The sequence below is a fragment of the Homo sapiens genome, chromosome X, assembly GCF_000001405.40.
Source record: "Homo sapiens chromosome X, GRCh38.p14 Primary Assembly".
NCBI classification, from domain to species: Eukaryota; Metazoa; Chordata; class Mammalia; order Primates; family Hominidae; genus Homo; species Homo sapiens.
The window spans coordinates 47,857,811-47,878,862 of NC_000023.11; the positions used below are offsets into that span (position 1 = coordinate 47,857,811).

Genomic DNA, 21,052 nt, shown 5'->3' on the forward strand with positions numbered 1-21,052 from the left:
AATGTCTTCTCCTGTTAGGTGGGTTTTGGGCCAGGGACACATTTCCTCAAACTGGGGCGAGGCTGGGGGTTACTCTCCTATAATCTCTGTGGTACACTTCTTTGCAGGTCTTGGGAATCTCAATTATGCCAACCCCTGACCCTCAATTATTCCCCTTTTATTCTGTAAGCTGCCATTCTTACTACCAAGGGTCTCATACTTTTTACCTAATGTTGTGGTATAACAGCCTGCCAAAGAGAACATCAGCACTTACAGATCAGCCTCACTCATGAATAGTGATGGAACTGTTATAAATGAAATATCATCAAGCAGAATCCATCAATTCCTTTAAAAGTCACTCATTCTGACCACGTGGTCCAATATTATAAAATCTATAATCCACCATATTAACATATCATCAGAGAAAAGCAATGTCACAAAATTTCAACATCCATTCTTGATTTTAAAAAGTATCAAAGTCAAGCATCCCACACTTCCAGTTCCTTCCCCAAACTCACCCTAGGGATTGTCACTGAAGTAGTGAAGGCTGATTAAGAACAGCCAGAACTCTTCATTTGGGAATGAGTCCCTTATAAGTCATCTTCCTTTGTCTTGTCTTATACTTTTCCAGAATTCGTCTCTGGCTGATTAAGATGGAGACCATGCCTCCTTTCTTTTGGGACTTCCTTATACACTGATGATGTTCAGAATCCTTTATTTTAGATTGAGTCTTTTATCTTTATAAAGTGTCTTCCTTTGTCTTGTTTCATTCTTTTGCCCTGGAATTCTACTCTGGTTGATATTAAGATGGAGGCCTTGCTTCCCTTCTTTTGGCTTTTTCTGATACACCTTTGCTTATCCTTTTACCATCATTCTGAATCTTTGTTCATTTTTCTATATAATATGTGAAAGATGTGTTTTATATTATACTTTCTAATTTTAATGTTTCTTTTTAATATGTTTCACTATATGCTCTATTTTGCTTTGTTTTTTGTTCTTTCTAATAATTTGAAAGGGTCGGCTGGGCGTGGTGGCTCACACCTGTAATCCCAGCACTTTGGGAGGCCGAGGCAGGCAGATCACCTGAGGTCGGGAGTTTGAGACCAGCCTGACCAACATGGTGAAACCCCGTCTCTACTAAAAATACAAAATTAGCCGGGCGTGGTGGCACATGCCTGTAATCCCAGCTACTTGGGAGGCTGAGGCAGGAGAGAATTGCTTGAACCCAGGAGGCAGAAGTTGCGGTGAGGCAAGATCGCACTATTGCACTCCAGCCTGGGCAACAAGAGCCAAACTCCGTCTCAAAAAAAAAAAAAGAAAGAAAAGAAAGGAAAAGAAAGGTTTAAATTCTTTTTTTGGTTCTTTAAGTGGTTACCTTTATAACATTAATTTTATAAATTATAATTAATATTCTAATTATTATAACACTATTAACTGTCCACCTTGAGTAGTGACAAGATTTGTATATGTTATTTCAATAATTCTTTTATTAGTTTTCCTTCAGCCTTGTATTTGAAGGCTTATCAGTTCAACTTGCCTGGGTCAATTTTTAAGAACAAATTATATACTGATTTTCCTCTCTTCCATATTTCTGTCATTTTTTCCCTATTATATTTTGAAGTATTTGTTGATTTCCACTTCATTTTGTTTACTGGCCATAATCCTTTCTTTGTTCCTACCTGTTTTGACAGGAACTGTTAAAGACATTCATATCTGTATTGATTTTTTGTTTTTTTAATCACTTCAAATGGTCATGTCAATGTCTTTTCAAAGTTGATGACTTCAAATCAGAATCCAAATAAGGTCCACACATTTGTTCCTATGACTCTGTCAAGAACTGTGAACAGTCTGAGATTTTTACCCTACTTGTGAGCTAATGTTAGCCTGCGACAGTGTCCTGGATGCTGGCAAAAGAGATATGAAACTCTGGGCTAGAGAAAAGGACTTTATTACTCATGGCAGTCGTGGTAGCTAGAGTCTTAACATTTGTGCCAGCTCCCCAAGTCCTGATTCCTACAGGGTGACGTGAAGAGAGCCAGGTGATGCACAGTGGGTCGCTTAGGTATCCTGAGTCTTTTATACTGAGTAGTAAGCAAACTTGTCCTTTGCTCTGGAGGGAGACACAATATATATTTCCAAGGCTGTTTGCTCTGCAAACATCCTCGAAAAGATGGCCTGGAACAAAAGGCAGTGTGGCATAATAAAAATATATATATTTGGTTCCTGGCACAGAGCTCTGAAAATTCTTGTAATTTCCTGAGTGGATAGGGGTGCCAGGAACATCTGTTGTTCTAATATTTGGTCTTTGACCCTAGTTCTTGACACAGAGCTCTTAATCCCATGCAATTTCCTGGGTGATAGGAGCATCTTTTGTTCTAATGAGATGACCTTTTTTTTTTTTTTTGAGATGGAATCTCGCTGTATTGCCCAGGCTGGATTGCAGTGGCGTGATCTCGGCTCACTGCAAGCTCCGCCTCCTGGGTTCATGCCATTCTCCTGCCTCAGCCTCCCAAGTAGCTGGGACTACAGGCGCCCACCACCATGCCCGGCTAATTTTTCATATTTTTTTTTTTAGTAGAGATGGGGTTTCACCGTGTTAGTCAGGATGGTCTCAATCTCCTGACCATGAGATGATTCTTGATGGGCTCCTGGATAGCTTCAGGAGTGGGGCTGATCACCAGAAAGACCAAGCTGTGATTAGAAGCTTGGAACTTTCAGCCTCACCCTCATCCTCTGGGGAGGGAAGAGGGGCTGCAGATTGAGATGATCATCATGCCTATGTGATGATGTATCCATAAAAATCCCTATAAACCAACCCCTGATTTATAGCCAATTGGCCAGAAGTACAGAGGCCTGGACTTGTGATTGGTGTCTGAAGTAGGACAGTCTTGTGGGACTGAACCTTAACTTGTGGGCGTATTAAATTGTAGAACACCTGTTGAAGTCTGCAAAAGATGTGGTTTGGAGAGCTTCAGGATTGGTGAACATGGAGGTGCTGGGTGGATGGCACGCCCGGAGAAGACGTAGAAGCTCTGCGCCCCTTCCCACATACCTTGCCCTATGTATGTGGATAGGGGTGCTAGGAACATCTGCTGTTCTAACATTTGGTCTTTGACCCTTGTTCTTGACACAGAGCTCCTAATCCCATGCAGTTTCCTGGGTGATAGGAGCATCTTTTGTTCTAATCAGGCTGTTTATCTGGCTGTTCATCTGTGTCTTTTGTAATATTCTTTATAATAAACCAGTAAATGTAAATAAGTGTTTTACTGAGTTCTATGAGCTATTCTAGCAATTATTGAACCCGAGGAGGAGTTTGTGGGAATCCCCAATTTATAGCCAATTAGTGGGAAGTACAGGAGACCTGGACTTCTGATTGGTGTCTGAAGTGGGGACAGTCTTGTGTGGCTGGGCCTTAACCTGTTAGTGTCTGTTCCAACACTGGGTAGTTAGTTCAGTATTAAAGTATGGAACACCTGTTAGAGTCTGCAAAGAATTGCTCGGTGTGGAAAACCCCACACATTTGGTGTCAGAAGTGTTCTGTGTGAGTGGAAGGAAAAACAGTTGTTTTTTTCCCTTTTTCAGGCAATCAGTACCTGTCCTCACAAGATCTGCAGAAATGTGAGAGCCCCGTAGAGAACTGTCTCACATCTCCACCTTGTTTCTACACTGTCTTTGATTCTGCACATGTTCCCATGAGTACACTACTCCACTGGTTACTTTAATTATTCTGTCAGAGGCTAGGGCCAAATCTGTGCAATTTGTCTCATGCAGCACTTAATTAAGGGTTGATCAGCAGTGCTCCAAGCAGCAGTCTGGCCAATACTGGGCCAATACCAGCAACACCGGGCCAATCCCCAGTATTTTCCTCAACCGTAACCCTTAGGGTTCCAGGCCCAACCAGCTGAACAAATCCCATAAACCATTAAGGTCTGTCTCCCTGATAAAACCAGGTGTTTTTCTCCTTAACTTTCTGGCTTGACCTTTCTACTTGGCTTCAGGCCTAATCCAGGTAACATGATGTATTAATATTAGCAATCGCATAAATTCTATCTTGACCCCAAAGGGCAATTTCATTATCCATAACGACCTTGGACAGCAAGTTGAGGCTGACCAGAATGTTTCCAGGGCCAAGGTAGCATTATTAATCACCTCGGCTAAAATCAGGGACAGATTTGCTACCACCTTTTCTAACTGGATGATTCCTATCATGGGAATAACTGCTTGCAGGGTACACATAAATAACAAGCCAGTTTATCCCTCTAGGAAGTTCCTCCTAGCAACAATGGGTAGCCTTGTTTTGGTGAGGTCTCAAGAGTCATTTGAGGGTTACGTGAACCGCTGGTAGTGATTCCTTACACACTTGCAGGTCTCTAATGAGCCCCACTCAAGATGCAAATCACCATATTTTGGGAGGGAACAAGTTAATGTCTGACTTACACACAAAGAGTACAATCTCGGCCGGGTGCGGTGGCTCATGCCTGTAATCCCAGCACTTTGGGAGGTCCGAGGCAGGCGGATCAGGAGTTCGAGACCAGCCTGGCCAACATAGTGAAACCCCGTCTCTACTAAAAATACAAAAAAAAATTAGCCGGGCGTGGTGGCAGGTGCCTGTAATCCCAGCTACCCGGAAGGCTGAGGCAAGAGAATCACATGAACCTGGGAGGCAGAGGTTGCAGTGAGCCGAGATCATGCCATTGCACTCCAGCCCAGGCGACAAGTGAGAGACTCCGTCTCAAAAAAAAAAAAAAAGAAAAAGAAAAAAGAAAACTACAATCTCAGGGTGACCCTGGGAAGAAAGTGTTGTTTAAAACTGAGGGGGCTCCCTAAGTAGGAACCACAGCAGTCCAGGGACACAGGGTGAGAGTACCTCCAATGTGATCTCACAGCCCACTGATAGTCTTTAATTAGTTAAGATAAAATCCAAGCAGTGTAAGAAATTGAATGTATTCAGGCTACTGCAAAAGGAGAGTGCCTCAGATCTGGAGATCAGAGTGTCTGGGAGGGGTGGTTTTGAATCTTACTTTTATAGGTTTGAGTGGGGAGAGTTCCAGTGTGGAGGTGGGTTGTTGTTTTTGCATTCAGGGGAAGTCCTAGTCAGCTGAACAGGGAAATGTTTATCTTTGTGGCTAGCTAGTTTCAGGAAAACAAGCTTCCAATCTCAGTTAATCATTCATGAGACACAGAACAGGACGTTAGAGGGTCTGTCTCAGGTGTTTTGGCAGGTTCAGGCAAAAGGAGAGTGGTCTGTGTTTGGCTTTTTCACAGGTAAACCCGGGAGTCATGAGAAAGAGTGGACAGCAAGCCTTATCTAAGCCACGTGGGGGAGAGGGGTCTTTTGCAGACAGTGTTTCCAAAACATGAAACGGGGAGGGTGGTTCTTAACTGTTGCTATTTTCAGAGTTCTGGTGGAATTCAACATTGTCAGACCCCTTCTTGTTCAAGGCAGCTATAAGGTTGTCCTTGAACAACTGTCTGGAAATGAGGCTACTGGGGATACCAGGTCTACACCATTGTCAGTCTAGATTTGATCTCCACATGTAACTTTGTTGGCTCAGATTTGGCCTCTGGGCACGAAGTCAGTTGGCAATGCATTTGTTGTCAGGTCTGCTGGATTGTGATATGTTGAATCATTTGTCGAGACTGGCTGCAGTGTGGCACTAAGACTCTGGGCAGGCTGTATCCCCAATTGCAAAGTGTAAGATTATACACAGGAGAAGGATTAGTAATCCCTGCCATCTACCTGAAAGCTAAGATCTTCTACTTCCAAATTCTGGCCAGGAGAACTTGCCCCATAGGCCGTTCATGTGAACCTTAGAGAGGCAAGTAGCCTTTCCCTGGAGTTTAGTGATTGACTATTCTACAAGGCCTGTGGTGTTCATCCAAGTAGAGCAAGAGGTGTTAGCTATGGTGCAGACACCTCCTTGACCAGCTGGGAGGAAGGCAAGAGCTACATGATTGTACTAATTTGAGCCAGTGAGTTTCAACTTATTTGCTATGTTGTAGGGCAGAGGTAGTATCATATCATTTATTACTTCTGCAAGGGTTTTGGAGAGATTTGGAGCTACTTTTTCTAATTGCGTAATTCCTTGAGTGGGTAAAATGATCCTTATAGTGTGCATAAAGAGAAAATCACTGCCACCCAGAGGGTTACCAAACACTCTAGTCAGGGATTGCTGTTAGGGGAAAGAAAGAAGATAATACCCAGAAATATTCAAGACAGAATTTCAGATTTTCAAAACATGTTCATATGACCCTCGACACTTTTTGTTCTGATCATTACCCAGGGAGAAGCTGAAAGAAAATGATCCCTTTCTGGGGTCAGGCATATTCATGACCAAACTGCCTTACTAAGGTTTGCGGACCAGGAGGAGGCAAGGGAGGTAGACTCTGAAGTCCTTTTGAGTCAGTTTTTGAGGAGGCTTTTCCAGTGCTTAATAATACCAGATGCCTGTGGACGGTAGAGAATATGGAAGTCTGTCGAATACCTTGACATCAGCCCATTGTCACATGGATTTTGCAATAAAAGGTACACCATTTTCAGGCTGCGAATAGTCCAGAAAACTGAAAATAGCCACAATTATGAGGCCAGAGCTGGCTGAGCAGATTGAAACAGCACCACTTTTACCTGAGGAGACGTCAACAGTGGTGCAACCTCAGTGAAAGCTCTTAGAATGGGCTTAAGGAATGATGCCATCAATTTGCCAGGAGTGAGTGGGGCCACACGTCATGTGATGTGACCTTTCTTATCACAATGGGTAATCTTTTAGAAGGAGTCAGAAGTTTGGCATGCAGTGGTAGCTTCTGCATCAGAAACTTAAGAATCTTGTAATTTGTGCCCAGTCTGTGACAATGGATGCATTGCCATCACCAATGGATGATGGATCCAGGCAGCAGTGACTTTAGTATGAATAGTATGGAATCAGCAGCTTGATTTCACTCAGTTTCATCAGAGAGCGGATCCTTACCATAGGCATCTATGGGGTGACCCAAACCACTCAGCTAGTAGCTACAATTTGTTTCTACAGTCCATGGTTCCAAAAAGAGCTGACTGATCTCAGTCTGTAGTCTTCCAAGTGGGAGACTGAAAAGCTATGCCATTGGCAATAGCTCAAGAGTTAAGAAATATAAAAGAGAATATTGAGCAGAGTTACGACAGTGGCCTTGCATTCTGCCTGCTGAGCAGAGCACCCACATCCATTCTCAGTTCTGCTGAGGTTGAACAGCCACATGGCCCAGTGGAAACCATCAGGTTTCAGCTTAGCCAGACCATTAGTGGATCAGGTCCAGGCTTTTAGGGGAACCTTTGTGAATTGAGGGCCCCATTAAGCCCAGCAGCCTTGCTCTAGTTGGCAGAGTGAGAAATAAATTTACCCCCAAAGGGGTAGTTGTCCCATTTTCATGTAAAACCGAGATGCCACTGGGGACAGGCCAGTTATACTCTTGAATATACTATTGGGCCCTTCCTACCTTGTTAGTCATCAAGTCTGAATCAGCCGACCCCAAAGTGGGAATGTCAGTCAAGCTGGAGAGTCACAAGGCCTCCACTGGTCAGGTGTTCAGTTTCGACAAGGGCCCAGTAGCAAGCTAATAGCTATCTTTCGTAAGGGGTGTTGCTGGTGACTCTGTAAGGACAATGAAAAATCCAAAACCCAAAGGGCTCTTCTGGGTGGAGGTTGCCTCCCTTTGTTAGAGATCCCATTAGGCAAAATCACCAGTTACAAACACTAGTAGCTCAACAGGGTCATTTAGGCTTTGGGGACCCTGAAGGTAAGGAGCAGAGAATGTGCCACAGCTTGCTGGACAGCATCCTCCACTGCCTGTTGGGTTGGGCCCCACTCAAAGGACATTGGTTTGCAGTTTATCCAATATAAAGGATCTAGTAGAATGTCCAAGTGAGGCACATAATGTCTCCCATACCTAAAGCATCCAGAATGGTCTCTTTTGGGGCTTTCTTTTAGGTGTGATGTTCAAAGAGATGGAGATTTTTCCTTGACTGAAAGAGGGACAGAACATTGTGAATCCACCCAGAGGTCCCAGATGCTTTACTTGATGAGCAGGCCCCTGAACTTCGTCAGAATTTACCAGCCACCTCTGATGGCAAAGGTGTGCTAATACCACCGTCAGAGCCATTGAGATGGAAGCTTCTGACTTGGCAACCAAGAAGACTGATCTCTATAGTGAAAATTTTGTACATCAGAGGGTAGAGGTGGTCACACTAAAGCCTAACCTACTCACTGGTGTTAAATGACAGGGTACTCATTGCCCCTGGGAGAGTACTGCAAACCTGTGTTGAAGGCCTTTGCCACATGAATGAAAATTGATCTTGGCCCTTGGTGTCAAGACCTGAGATTTTACCCTACTTATAAGCTAATAATTGGGCTTGCCACAGTTGCAAGTGTGCTGGCGGAAGTCACCAGATTCCTGAGTCAGTGATAAAAGACCATTACTCAGAGAAAAAGACGTAGCCAGCATCAGCTTGGCTGCATGTTGGAGAAAAGATTAAAAATAAAATTCCTGGCAACCCAGGAAATCCTCTCCACAAATATAGAATAGAAAGAAAAGAGTTTTATTATTGAATATGCACTAAACCACACTGCAGTGTGCATCACAAGAAATCTGCTAATGAAATTGCAAAGACAGAAGGAAATCTCACCCTTGTATGTAGCCGGGCGGATTCATGTTCTCAAGATAAATAACTTGTCTCATGTAAGAAGAACTGATAGCACCATTTGCTGTATATTCTTTCATAATTCATCCTAAGTTTACCTGGTAATTGGAGTGGCCATCTGTGCTAGTTAATTGCCCTTATCCAAAGGCAAAAATCAAACTTCTATATATGACATGCAGGTAGTTACAGACTAGAGCCAGGCACCTAGGCTAGACTCCCAGGGTGACAGGGAGATAGCACCTAGGCTAAACTCCCAGGGTGACAGGGAGATAGGATCCTTGATGTTTATATATCAAAGAGATGGCTCCTGAGCTCTTAAGAAAAACATTCTTGGTACATGCATGCGTGTGTTCATGGCAGCACTATTCACAACAGCAAAAACAAGGAATAAACCCAAATGCCCATCAATGATAGACTAGATAAAGAAAATGTGGTACATATACACCATGGAATACTATGCAGCCATAAAAAGGGACAAGATCATGTCCTTTGCAGGGACATGGATGGAACTGGAAGCCATTATCCTCAGCAAACTAACACAGGAACAGAAAATGAAACACCACATGTTTTCATTTATAAGTGGGAGCTGAACAGTGAGAACACATGGACACAGGGAGGGGAACAACACATACTGGAGCCTGTGGGGGGTTAGGGGGAGGCTAAGAGAATCAGAATAAATAGCTAATGCATGCTGGGCTTAATACCTAGGTGATGGGTTGATAGGTGCAGCAAACCATCATGGCACACATTTCCCTATGTAACAAACCTGCACATCCTGCACAGGTATGCTGGAACTTAAAATAAAAACATTCTTGGATTGTAATACAGGCAGAAGACTTGTTTAGCTTTTAAAAATTCATACACATATCAAAAGAGCAGAGGAAAGATTTACAAATACAAGTTTTTTCAGGAAATGCTCTAAGAAAAGGGAAGAGGGAGGAAGGTCTCTTTTCCTTTTGGTAATAAGGAAAATTTAAATGTTTTTTCTCCTTATGATTTCCCCTTCTTTTATAATAACACTACGGTTTTCTAATTTTCTCTGTCACTCACCATTTCTACCTTTCTTTGGGCAGTTAGACATCTAAAGATCCAGCAAATCCATAGTAAAATGCAGAGCAAGCAATTATGAAAATTACCATAGGATGAATTTAAAATGTCAGTGCAACATTTGCATTGTGGGAAAATCCTTTAAGTATGTCTTACCAGTGGTGAATGGTTAAAGCACATTCTTGATTAGCAACGTGCAGAAATTCTCATTTCCTGATATATTACTTTTACAGATTGCTGGTGTTGTCCGTATTGCTTGTTAAGATGATTGTTTAAGTATTATTTTGTAGTTCTTTAGGAAGTCTTACCCAATCCAAGTCTAAGGAGTAGCTTTCCAGGGACCTGATATTCTAATTTTTAATTTAGAGTTTTATAACACCCAATAAATTTCTCCTGAGTTCCTGTCAATCAATAAGTAACACCACATTTATAAAACGTAGCCCTGTAGTACTTGTTCCATCTTCTCAAATAATATGTCCAAGATGCAGAACACAAAGATACCCCTGGCTATTATCGAGTTTATTATTATGAGGCATTCTTTGAAGGGTACAGATTGAACTTCCAGTGCTTAATGTGCTTGGCTCTAATTGTTTTAAGTCTTGAGGAAAACCCCAATCTGTGGGTCATTGCTTGCATTAGTCTAAATCAATAGTAACACCAGGCATGTCAGTCCCCATGAGTAACAGGCATCCACCTGTGTTTATCTGTCCCAGTTTATCTCTGGGACTGGAGAGAATCTGCATCCTAAATTAATCCAATGACATTAAACCTGTTTTCTTCAGTCTCTATCTGTGACTGCCAGATTTGTTTGTCTATTAAGTAGATGCTTTTTTTTATACTATTCTTCTGTCTCTTCTGGTATAGTCATAGTCTAATGCCTATCTATTTCCTTAAAGATGAACAGCCCTGTGATTCTGAACTAGTGATGGTATCTGGGACTATTTTATAACCAATTGCCTTGGACTGTGCAAATGAACCTCTGAGACCTTCGTGGTGATTTTTGGTTCCGTCATTAAATTACTCCAAATAGTTCAATTCTATACTGTTTTCCATTTCCACTCCTATTGAGCTCCCCTTGCTTTAAAATATCTTACATGATGTGATTCATCCAGTTTGTGATTGTATTATGTGCTTTTGTAGTTGTCCCAAAGCACTATGTTTATTATTCAAAGTCTCAATCTCAAAAGAGTTAGGTATATCTGTACCTGTCCCTATTCCTCCCAGGACTGTATTCTAATAAGTCTCCTTTTGCCCTTGGCTGTCCCCGAACAGGCCTGTTAATAAATTTTATATTGGGAAGGCTCAAGGGATACATGTCTAGCTGTGAAGACTGACAGCAGCCTCAGACAGTTCAAGAAAAACCATCTACCTATAATCCTGGGGGCTATTAAAATAGGCTCAGGGCATTGCCATGTTCCAAACATAGTGGCGGGGGGGTGGGGGGGATCTCTCTTATATACATCTTGAGGAGTCTGTTGAAAGGATTCCCACCAGTATGGATGTAATTTACCATCGATGTCTTTACAACTATCAGTAGTTTTATTGAACCAAACCTCTACCATAGTAAAGGTGAGAGAATAAATCACAAGGCTTACTCCTATAGGTATTTTGATTGTCATATAGTTAACAGATTCCTTTTTTCCCTCTAAGGATCCTTCCAGTCAAACCAGTTAACAAAACATTTTTGTATCAAATTTAGGGCTTGAGTATCTGGATGCATATAAGTTACTTTAGTATTATCAAACATTACTAGTGAAGATGGCTCTGCCTTTACTCTGCCAATAATTTGACTGTTGGACTTAAAAGTCCAGATCATGTGTATTCTGAGGATATAATACGGAGTTCATCAGGAAAAACAGGACATGGCGTGGGCACAGGACATGGTCTGTGTAATTGTGGAGACCATTACTGGGAGTACAAAAAAAAGCAGCATAACAAATAACAGATTTGTTTTCTAGTAAAATGAGATTCCTAAGTAATCAAAATAAGCCTATTAAGAACAGGAGAGCAAGGCAGTCTCTGAGGATAGTAGTAATACATTTTCCAGAATACCTCTTTTCAGTCGAATCTCAATACCAGTGTAAGTTACTTTGGAAAACTTAAGTTTCAAGTCTTTTGTCAGTGCTGGCTTCACAAGGAAAGCATGGATCCAACTGTATTTTTTGTTTTTTTTTATTTTGTTTTGTTTTGTTTTGTTTTCCCTTTTTTTGAGATGGAGTCTTGCTCTGTTGCCCAGGCTGAAATGCAGTGGTGCGATCTCAGCTCACTGCAACCTCCGCCTCCTGGGTTCAAGTGATTCTTGTGCCTCAGCCTCCTGAGTAGCTGGAATTATGGATGTGCACCACTGCACCCGGCTAATTTTTGTATTTTTAGTAGAGACAGGGTTTTGTCATGTTGTCCAGGCTGGTCTGAAACTCCTGGACTCAAGTGATTGCCTGCCTCGGCCTCCCAAAGTGCTGGGATTACAAGACTGAGCCACCACACCTGGCCCAACTGCATTTTTCTTTTACTTTGATAGCAGAGTGGGTGATCACAGCACTTGAAAAGGTGAGCGACGGCCTGTCTTTTCCCAGGAACACTTTCATGTAGATGAAATCTCCTGGTTGAAAAAGGTGGCAGACTTCTTCCAGCAGGTCCATCCAGATCTTTATGACTTTATATCTTAGGGTTCCTAAGGAAGAGAGGAACTCTTCTAAATATTGAATATGATTATAAGAAGATTCAATTAAGTTAGGCACAGGACATGGTCTCAGACCCACATCATAGGTCTGCCAAACATAAGTTCAAAGGGAGTGATACCATGCTTGCTAGCAGGGGTTGCTCTAATTTTTAACAAGGCTAGTGGTAAAGCCATTGGCCATTTTAATTCAGAAAGTCAGTGAATCTTGGCCAATGAGTTTTTTTAGACTTTGATTCATTTGCTCCACTTGTCCAGAGGACTGAAAATGATTGATAGAGCATATAATAGTTTATAGGATTCTGCAAACATTTGCATAATTCCTGAACAACAGAAAATAAAAGGTCTTACTCTGATTCAATCTGCTTTTGTATCCCCAAAGTGAGAATTATGTTTATTAAGGAAAACTTTACCACTGCCTGAGCAATGACTTTTGAAGAGGGCAAAACTTCAGGGCATTGATACACACCATAACTAGACAAACATCTCTTACCTTCTGCGGGCATTGATTCTATGAAATCCAGCTGCCACCAGGTTCCTGGTATGTTGATTGGGGAAAACTTCCTGTGCTTACCTTGGGAGTGGTCTGTGAAGACTTTTGCTGACAAATAGCACATCTCTTTACTATGTTTTGAATAAATTCATCTTTTTGGTAGGCATAGTGAGAGTCTGAAACCTTTAAAATCCATCTTTTATGTAGCTGATTTTGTTGCTGACACAATACTAACCAAGTAAATAAAGACCAAGGAGTAGGAATTGTATTGTTAGCTAATTCCCATAGTACAGCCCCCCTTCCTTAATCCATTTGCCCATTTTCTTTTGGAATGCATATTTTTGAAAATAAATGAAAGTTTCTTGTATTAGAATTGGGGCTTCTGAGCTGGGTGTCAGCCGTGTGTTAACCGTAGTTTTTACAGCCCTATCAGCAGAATCATTGCCTTTAGAAATTTTGTTTTTCTGCACTATGTGGTCTCTACAGTGGATTATTTTATCTTACTCAGCAGTTGTGAAGCCTCTCATAACTCGGATATTAATTTTCCATGAGATATTTTAGTTCCCATGAAGTCAAGAATCCATTTTTTCAAATTTCCCCTATTATATGACAGACACCAAACACATGTTTATTGTCAGTATATAGATTCACTTTAAGTCCTGAACCAAGAGTTGTAGATCCCTAGTAGCTGCTATTAGCTTGTCTGCTTGTGCTGATTTAATTCCAGGCAAAACATAAGCGTTCAAGATTTCCTGAGCAGTCACCACAGCATAAGAACCCTGAAGGTGGCCCTTCTCATCCCAGGTATATGCCCCTCAGTAAACCTTATCAAATATGCATTTTGAACGGGAATATCAGAAAAATCAGGTTGCTGCCTAGTATCTTCTATTACTGTTGTACACTCATGATCATCTATTTGACCAGGATCTGGTAAAAGAGTAGCTGGTTTTTGAAGATTGCATCTTCCAAGCACAAGATTAGGATTGGGTAATAATGCTGATTCATAATTAATAAGATAGTGCACCGATAAATGCTGGGTCTTATGCACTTGTAAGATAGTTGTCATAGCATGAAGGGTATGCAGAAGAGTCAGGTGACCCAAGGTAAGGGTTTGAGCCTTTTCACTAAGTGTGGCAGCTATTGCTGCTGCTCGGGGGCATCCAGACATTCCCAACAGCATCCAGAAGAACTGGGAAATGAGCTGTCGGTCTATAGCCTAACCCCGCCTTGTGAGTTAAAATTCTACTAGCAGCACTTTTATTTTCATGATAAAACAAGTGGAAAGGTTTTAAAAATTTTGGAATCTCCAAAGCTAGGGGAGAGACCATAGCGAATCTTAGTTATTCAAAAGCCTCTTCGGATTCTAGGGACCAAATCAGAACATTTGGAGAATTACCATGCAGTTGCTCCATCCGAGGTTTTCTGCTCTTTGCAGAAGCTGGAATCCCCTGCTCTATAGTCCCCTAGCAGTTCCCAAAATGGTCTCAGTTGTTTTATTGTAGTAGGCCCTTTCATCTGCAAAATTGCAGCCTTTACCTGACAATAGATTCCCTAAATATTTCACTTCAGTTTGGCAGTATTAGAGTTTGTTTAGTGAGGCCATATGTCCCAGCCAAGCAAGGAATTGTAACAAAGCCAAAGTATCAGTTTTGCATTGTTCTTCAGTTTTAGAGGCTACCAGCAAATAATCTACATATTGAATAATTACAGATCCCTCCAGTGAGACAGATTTCCCTAAGTTTTCCTGTGAGTGGCTCGAGAAAAAGAGTAGGAGAGTCCGGAAACCCTTGAGAGACCATTTGCCATAAATATTGAACTTCATCATAAGTAAAACCAAACTAGAATTTAGACTCATTAGCTAGAGGAACAGAAAAAAAATGCAGAACACAGATAAACTACACAGGAAAAATTTTCAGACAATGGCACTGAAGTCAGAGTAGTTGCAGGCTTAGGAACTAATGGGGTTAATGGAGCAACAAATGTATTTACTTCCCTAAGGTCTTGTATAAATCTATATAGTGGTTGTCCGTCTTCATCAAATGTACCTTTCTTGACTAGAAGTATGGGACTATTACAGGGTGAGTGCCCTTTTAAAATTATTCCTGGTTTTTCTAATTATTTTATACATGGTTTTATTCCTTCTGATTGAGCTCTCAACAAAGGTTATTGTGTTATACATGGCCATAGCTTATCTTTTTGGTAAGCTATTTTTATTGATTCGATATCTTGAATTAAACCAGTATCATTATTCTGTGGGGCCCATTGATTTGTTTCAGTTTGGGGTACTTTTCCAGCACGGTGTGAGATTGCTACCCTCTGCCATCCCCTTTTCTTTCTAAAGGCACCTAGTAACCAGATCAGGTGCCTTTTCCTCTAGGCATCTCCACAAGCACTCCATCTGGAGTAGAGAATATGGTAGCCTTTATTTTGCACAGCAAATCTGCAAGGAAGTCTCTCTTCAATAGCTTTACAGGAGGATCAGGAGAAAGTAAGAAAGCATGTTCGTTATCAGAGGACCTATCTTTATGGGAACTGTGGAGGGAAAGAAACAAGTAGAAGGCTGACCTGAAATGTCAGCAGCCTGTATTAACCTGTCACCAGACGGCAAGTGAGAAATTTGAGGCAGTTGTAGAATAAGTAGCACCAGTATCTACCAGAAAAGGCAAACATAGGTTAGCCTGAGGGAAAGTTATTGACACTTGCTGTTCACTAGTTTCCACCCCTGAAACTCCCTCAATCTGCCAGTTTTGAGCCAATTGCCAGTTGTTCCTTAGTGGAGGGTTTTCTCCGGGGCTTTTCTGATGTCTCTCTGTTCCTGCAATTTCTGCATCCTCTGGGGTCTCTATAATCCCTCTTCCAATGTCCTGGCTTCTTACTCTAATGACAGTTTTCTCTTTGTCCTTGGCTCCCTTTGTATATTGTCCAGGGTAGCGTGATTCCTTTGGAAAATAGTTGTAACTGAACAGTTAACGCAGTGGAGTTTGTTTGTTTGTTTGTTTTGTTTTGTTTTGACACAGAGTCTTGCTGTGTCACCCAGGCTGGAGTGCAGCGGCACAATCTCGGCTCACTGCAACCTCCGCCTCCTGGGTATAAGTGATTCTCCTGCCTCAGCCTCCCGAGTAGCTGGGACTACAGGCATGTGCCACCATGCCTGGCTAATTTTTGTATTTTTAGTATAGACAGGGTTTCACCATGTTGCTCAGGCTCATCTCGAACTCCTTGGCCTCAAGCAATCTGCCCATCTCAGCCTCCCAAAGTGCTGGGATTACAGGTGTGAGCCACCATGCCTGGCCTTACAGTGGGTTTTAATTGCTTCTCTTCTTCATCTTTCTCTAACTTGTCCCAAAACTAAGTAGCTGCTGCTAAGATTTGAGTAATAATCCGTCCTTGGCTGAGACAAAGGCAGACAGGACCAGAGAGTGGTTTTGATCTGTCCCTGGATTTGCACTGGTAAATTTTGAGAAAGCCTCAACAAACTGCTGAGAGGAGTCAACAAGGAACACACTCATCTTCTAGGTTCACTGCTGTAATTTCTGCCAGCTCACTTTTAGCAGAAAGGGGTTCAAGTATGGGCATTAGCAACCCTTTTTAATGGGTCCCTAAAGTCCTTGTTCTTCCATGGCCATGGGGGATGGCAGATAGTAGCAGTCTTTTGGCCACTATTCCTCCTATTGTGACAGGTCATCTTCCAATCCCTAACATGCCTGTTCCATCAAATAAGCACAGCCTGCTGGTTGCAGAATTCCATGCAGGAGCCAGGGTACATCCCCATATTCAGGGTTGTAAACTGGAAACACACAGCCAAGTTCTTGTGCAAACTTCTGTGGCTCTTGCCTGGGCACAGGAAAGGAAGTCCTTGTGTGAGTAATACTGGCTGAGTTGAAGGCATATAGATTCTTACCATTTCAGGTTCCCCTTGTGTAGGTCTGGGGTAGCTTTGTGATGGCATCAGCCTTATTGGTGATGCAGATAGGAAGGGCTGCTGTCCTCTCATTGAGTCAAGAAAGATGTAGAATTAGATAGCACTTGGGATTCCTTTTCCATATTGGTATATATCAGCCTAACACACCTTTTTTGTTTGTCTTTTCCAAGTAGCTACTGCAACTGCTGTCCATCTTGTCACCTGCATATGGGGACACAGTCTTGTATCTCAGTTATTCCCTGATGATGTTGCTTTATTACCTGTGCTTCCCTAGCTATATGGTATGTGGATAATAAAGGACTGTTGGAGGTGCAATCTAGGCTAAGCATGAAATGGAATCAGGGCACACAAACCTCACACAGGGCAGATAATTCATTGCTGGTGAAAACAGTTGGGCTTTTGTCCCTCTTTGCAGGGAAACCCCCTAAGGGAACCACCCATCTCAAAGATTATGGCTTTCTTCTTACCAGGAATCAATTTGAGGCCACGGGGGTGGGGGTGGGTAGAGATAAAGAGGTCGATGCAAGGGGAACAGAGTGAATGGGGACAGCAGAGCAAGGAGGAGCAGGAGGGTTTGGTGAAAGAGAAAGTACCTTTCATTCTCCCATTTGCTCTTCTGTTTTCCTCAATCCTTCCAAATAATTTTTAGCTTTCTTCTTAGAATGACATTCATCCCATAAACATGAGTAATGCATTTGCTTGCAATGAGGTCCTTCTAAGAATCACCACAAATAAGTTAATTCACCCAAATAAAAGGAATCATCCTCAGGTCACACTATAAGACTGGATTCTCATTACAGATGGATTTCATTCCAAATGTTATGTACAGATATGTTAGCCCTTTAAGAGAAAGCCCTGCAGGCTTTCCCATATTTTTCTACCATCAAAGCTAGTGGTGATCCTGATGGAGTTATAGGTTCTGCATTACACATGCTTCTCAATCATAAAATCTGGAATTTGGAAAAGATGATTTGTCTGGCTAGTATTTGAAAATAGCACAGAGCTAGAAGGGAGACATTTTATAATTCACCTTCAGCTGGTCTGCTCGATTCAGGAACTTCCAGGCCATCCCATCCTCATCAGCAGATTGCTAGGGGAAAATTAAAAGTAAAATCTGGCAACACAGGAAATCCTGACTACAAATGTAGGGAAGAAAGAAAACAGTTTTATTATTGAATAAGCATTAAGCCCACTGATTTGCATCACAGGCAATCTGCTAATGAGATTGCAAAGGTAGCAGGAAATCTCACCCTTTTATATAGCCAAGCAGATACAATCCATTACATACGTGTTCTCATGATAAATGATAACTCATCCTCATGTGAGATGACTTGACAGCACCATTTGTTATACATTCTTTTATAGTTCATCCTGTTTACTTGGTAATTGGAGTGGCCACATATGCTAGTTAATTGCCTTTATACAAAGGCAAAAGTCAAACTTCTGTCTCTGTGATAAGCAGGTAGTTACAACTTAGAGCCTGGTGCCTAGGCTAAACTCCAGGGTTACAGGGAGCTAGGAGATAGGATTCTTGATATCTGTATTCAAAGAGATGGCTCATAAGCTCTTAAGAAAAACATTCCTGCATTGTAATGCTGACAAAAAACTTATTTAGCTTTTAAAAAGATTTATGTACATATTGAAGAGAATATAAATCTTCTCAAGGAAATGCTCTAGAAAAGGGAAGAAGAGAAAAGGCATCTTTCCCCCTTGGCAACAGTGAAAATTCAACTCTTTTTTAACCTTATAGGCTAGGGGTTCTCCAAATCCCAATTCCCACAGGGGTGGCTCAGATTGTCCTTGATGAGTGCCTGCACATGCAGTGAGTGAGGTGCACTACAGGAAATGAACAAGCCCAGGGAACCTGCTACTGAACAGCCGCCTGTAAGCAAGGCTCAAACTTGCTTGATGCAGATATAAGCCTGAGACGTGTCCAGGTCAAGAGCAGTCCGGGCCTTGCTGTGTAGTCATACCCAGCAAGATGTGTAGGAGCACAAGAGACCCATGGAAGTGTCTTCTACCTCCAGTGGGGTAGAAAAGAAAGCATAGGCAATGTCCAACACAGTGTCCTAAGTGTCATTCGCTTGTGCAGTGTATTGTTATAGTCACTATGTTTGAAACAGCCAGGACAATGGGAGAAACAACTGAATTCAGTTGGTGGGAATCCCCTGTCAGCCTCCAGCTCCTGCTACTCTTTTTCACTGGCCATATAGGGCTGTTGTATTGACATCTTACATATCTCATGATACCTGCTGCCTTTCTGTCCTTAATTGAAGCTGTGATTGCTCTTTGTCCTCCAGGGATTCTCTCTCTCCTTTTTGTTGGACCACCTGGGAGAGGAAGGGAGATGGATTGGGGAGTGGCTTGCATGTCTCACTACCATGTGTCTACATATGGGAGTCCCTGAACAGGAGAATCCCTTTTGGACTGGATGAGCATTCACAGCACAAGCATGTAAAACATCATGCCAGTGATACACTCAGCCATGGAAGCCCCAATAACCATACACTGAATTGGCCCAAAGGGCCCTATCCACAAGGTCACTTTAGTTTACCTTCCTCACTAATCCCTGCCTAAACCCCATCAGTTGAATTTGGGTGCACCCCCCCGCACCTTGAGATCAGATAGGATGGTCCCTTGGGCGACTGTATCCAACCAAGCCTTAGAAGTCTGAGTCCCTCCCTTCCCTGAAGTTCTCCAGCACACTCAGAGGGGCGTGTATGGTGGCCTTTGGTCCCTCTTGGAAACAGGGAGGCCTCTGTCCCCTCTCTAATAATTTATTAAAAACAGCTGATTTCAGGGTAGAAGGGGACAGAGGGACCAAGCATGTAGTGAGAGAACGCGGTGCCATGCCAGTAAGCAAGTCTTCCCATTTACTTTCAGTTTCAAGCAATGCAGCAGCTGCTCAGGACTCGACCTAGTGAAACTCTCATGTTTTTAGTATGCCCAGAACTCTGTATCGGGCGGCAAGATCAGCCTTACTGACACCATCTGTTTCGACTTTGGGGATGCCTCAGTTCTACAGCCATGGCCACATTGGTTTCTGGTCATGCCCACTGGTGAACTCAGGCTTTACTAGCACAGTAGCAACTTCTTATTTTTAAGATGTCCATTTTAAGCTGGCACATTTGCTGCTCATTTTCCTGATAGCATACCTTAAGTTGTTGCTTAGTTTTAAACATAAAAACGAGGGGAGTTTTCCAGGACAGTGTGAGCTGACCTAAAAAAATCTTGAATTCTTTGGGTCAGTTTCTCATTTCCTAGCATTATAGATCCAATACGGGGCAGTAAGAGCCCAATGCTAGTCAATGCCTCATCTGTGATTTCCCACAAGAGTTCGTCTCAGGCAGCTTACCAAGAGGGCTAACTATAGGCCTAATAACAGCAGCCAGGATCTACTGCAAAAAACCTCTGAGACCTTTTCCTGTTGCTTCTGAAGGGCTCTAAGGTTGGCATGATCGACTGTAGGAGGGGCCGAGCCGTGAACATCCCAGCTGTTGCCATTCTTCCTTAACAAACTTTACATCCCCTCCTGCCTGTCGTGCAACCAGACCAGCCAAAGTTCTGACCATTTTCCTGGTTTCTGTGCCTACCAGTCATGAATTTTCCTCTTTTTGTCTTGAGTGTAGATGCTCTTTTCTGTAACTATTGTCTGCAAAAGGGTTGGGAACTGCACCTCCACCCCTCCCACCAATGATTCTCAATACTGGTTGTTACTAAGGGTAGAAGGGGACAGAGGGACCAGGCATGGAGTGAGATGGTGCGGCGCCATGCCAGTAAGCAAGTCTTCCCATTTACTTTCAGTTTCAAGCAATGCAGCAGCTGCTCAGGACTCAACCTAGTGAACCTCTCATGTTTTCAGTATGCCCAGACCTCTGTATCAGGCATTCCCCTCAATGACATCCCCCGATTGGGGGGAACCTGAGACTGACCATCACATTGGTGAGGAAGTCCTCCACCTGGATGAGAGTTTGGAATAACTAGGAGACTCTTTAAACCTACTTCCTGGCACTTAGTGTGTAAGAATTTCCCCAGTTCCTCCTCAATGACAAGCAATAAAGTGGAGGACCATTTATTGCACAGTTGACCATACAATTTAGTCAACATATTCACTGCTGATTCACCTTAAATCCTCTTAATTGCCCCATATATTAGTTTTCTATCACTGCTGTAACAAATTGCCACGAACTTGGTGGCTTAAAATAACAGAAGTTTGTTATCCTATAGTTCTGTAGTTCAGAAGTCCAAAATGGTTCTCACTGGTCT

The 21,052-nt window shown here is 42.4% G+C and overlaps 1 protein-coding gene across 6 annotated transcripts in view; it reads left to right on the plus strand.

The window, feature by feature from the left end:
* The window catches only part of ZNF81 (zinc finger protein 81), an 88,726-nt gene that overhangs the window by 20,909 nt on the left and 46,765 nt on the right, over positions 1 to 21,052 (plus strand). The window lies entirely within an intron of this gene.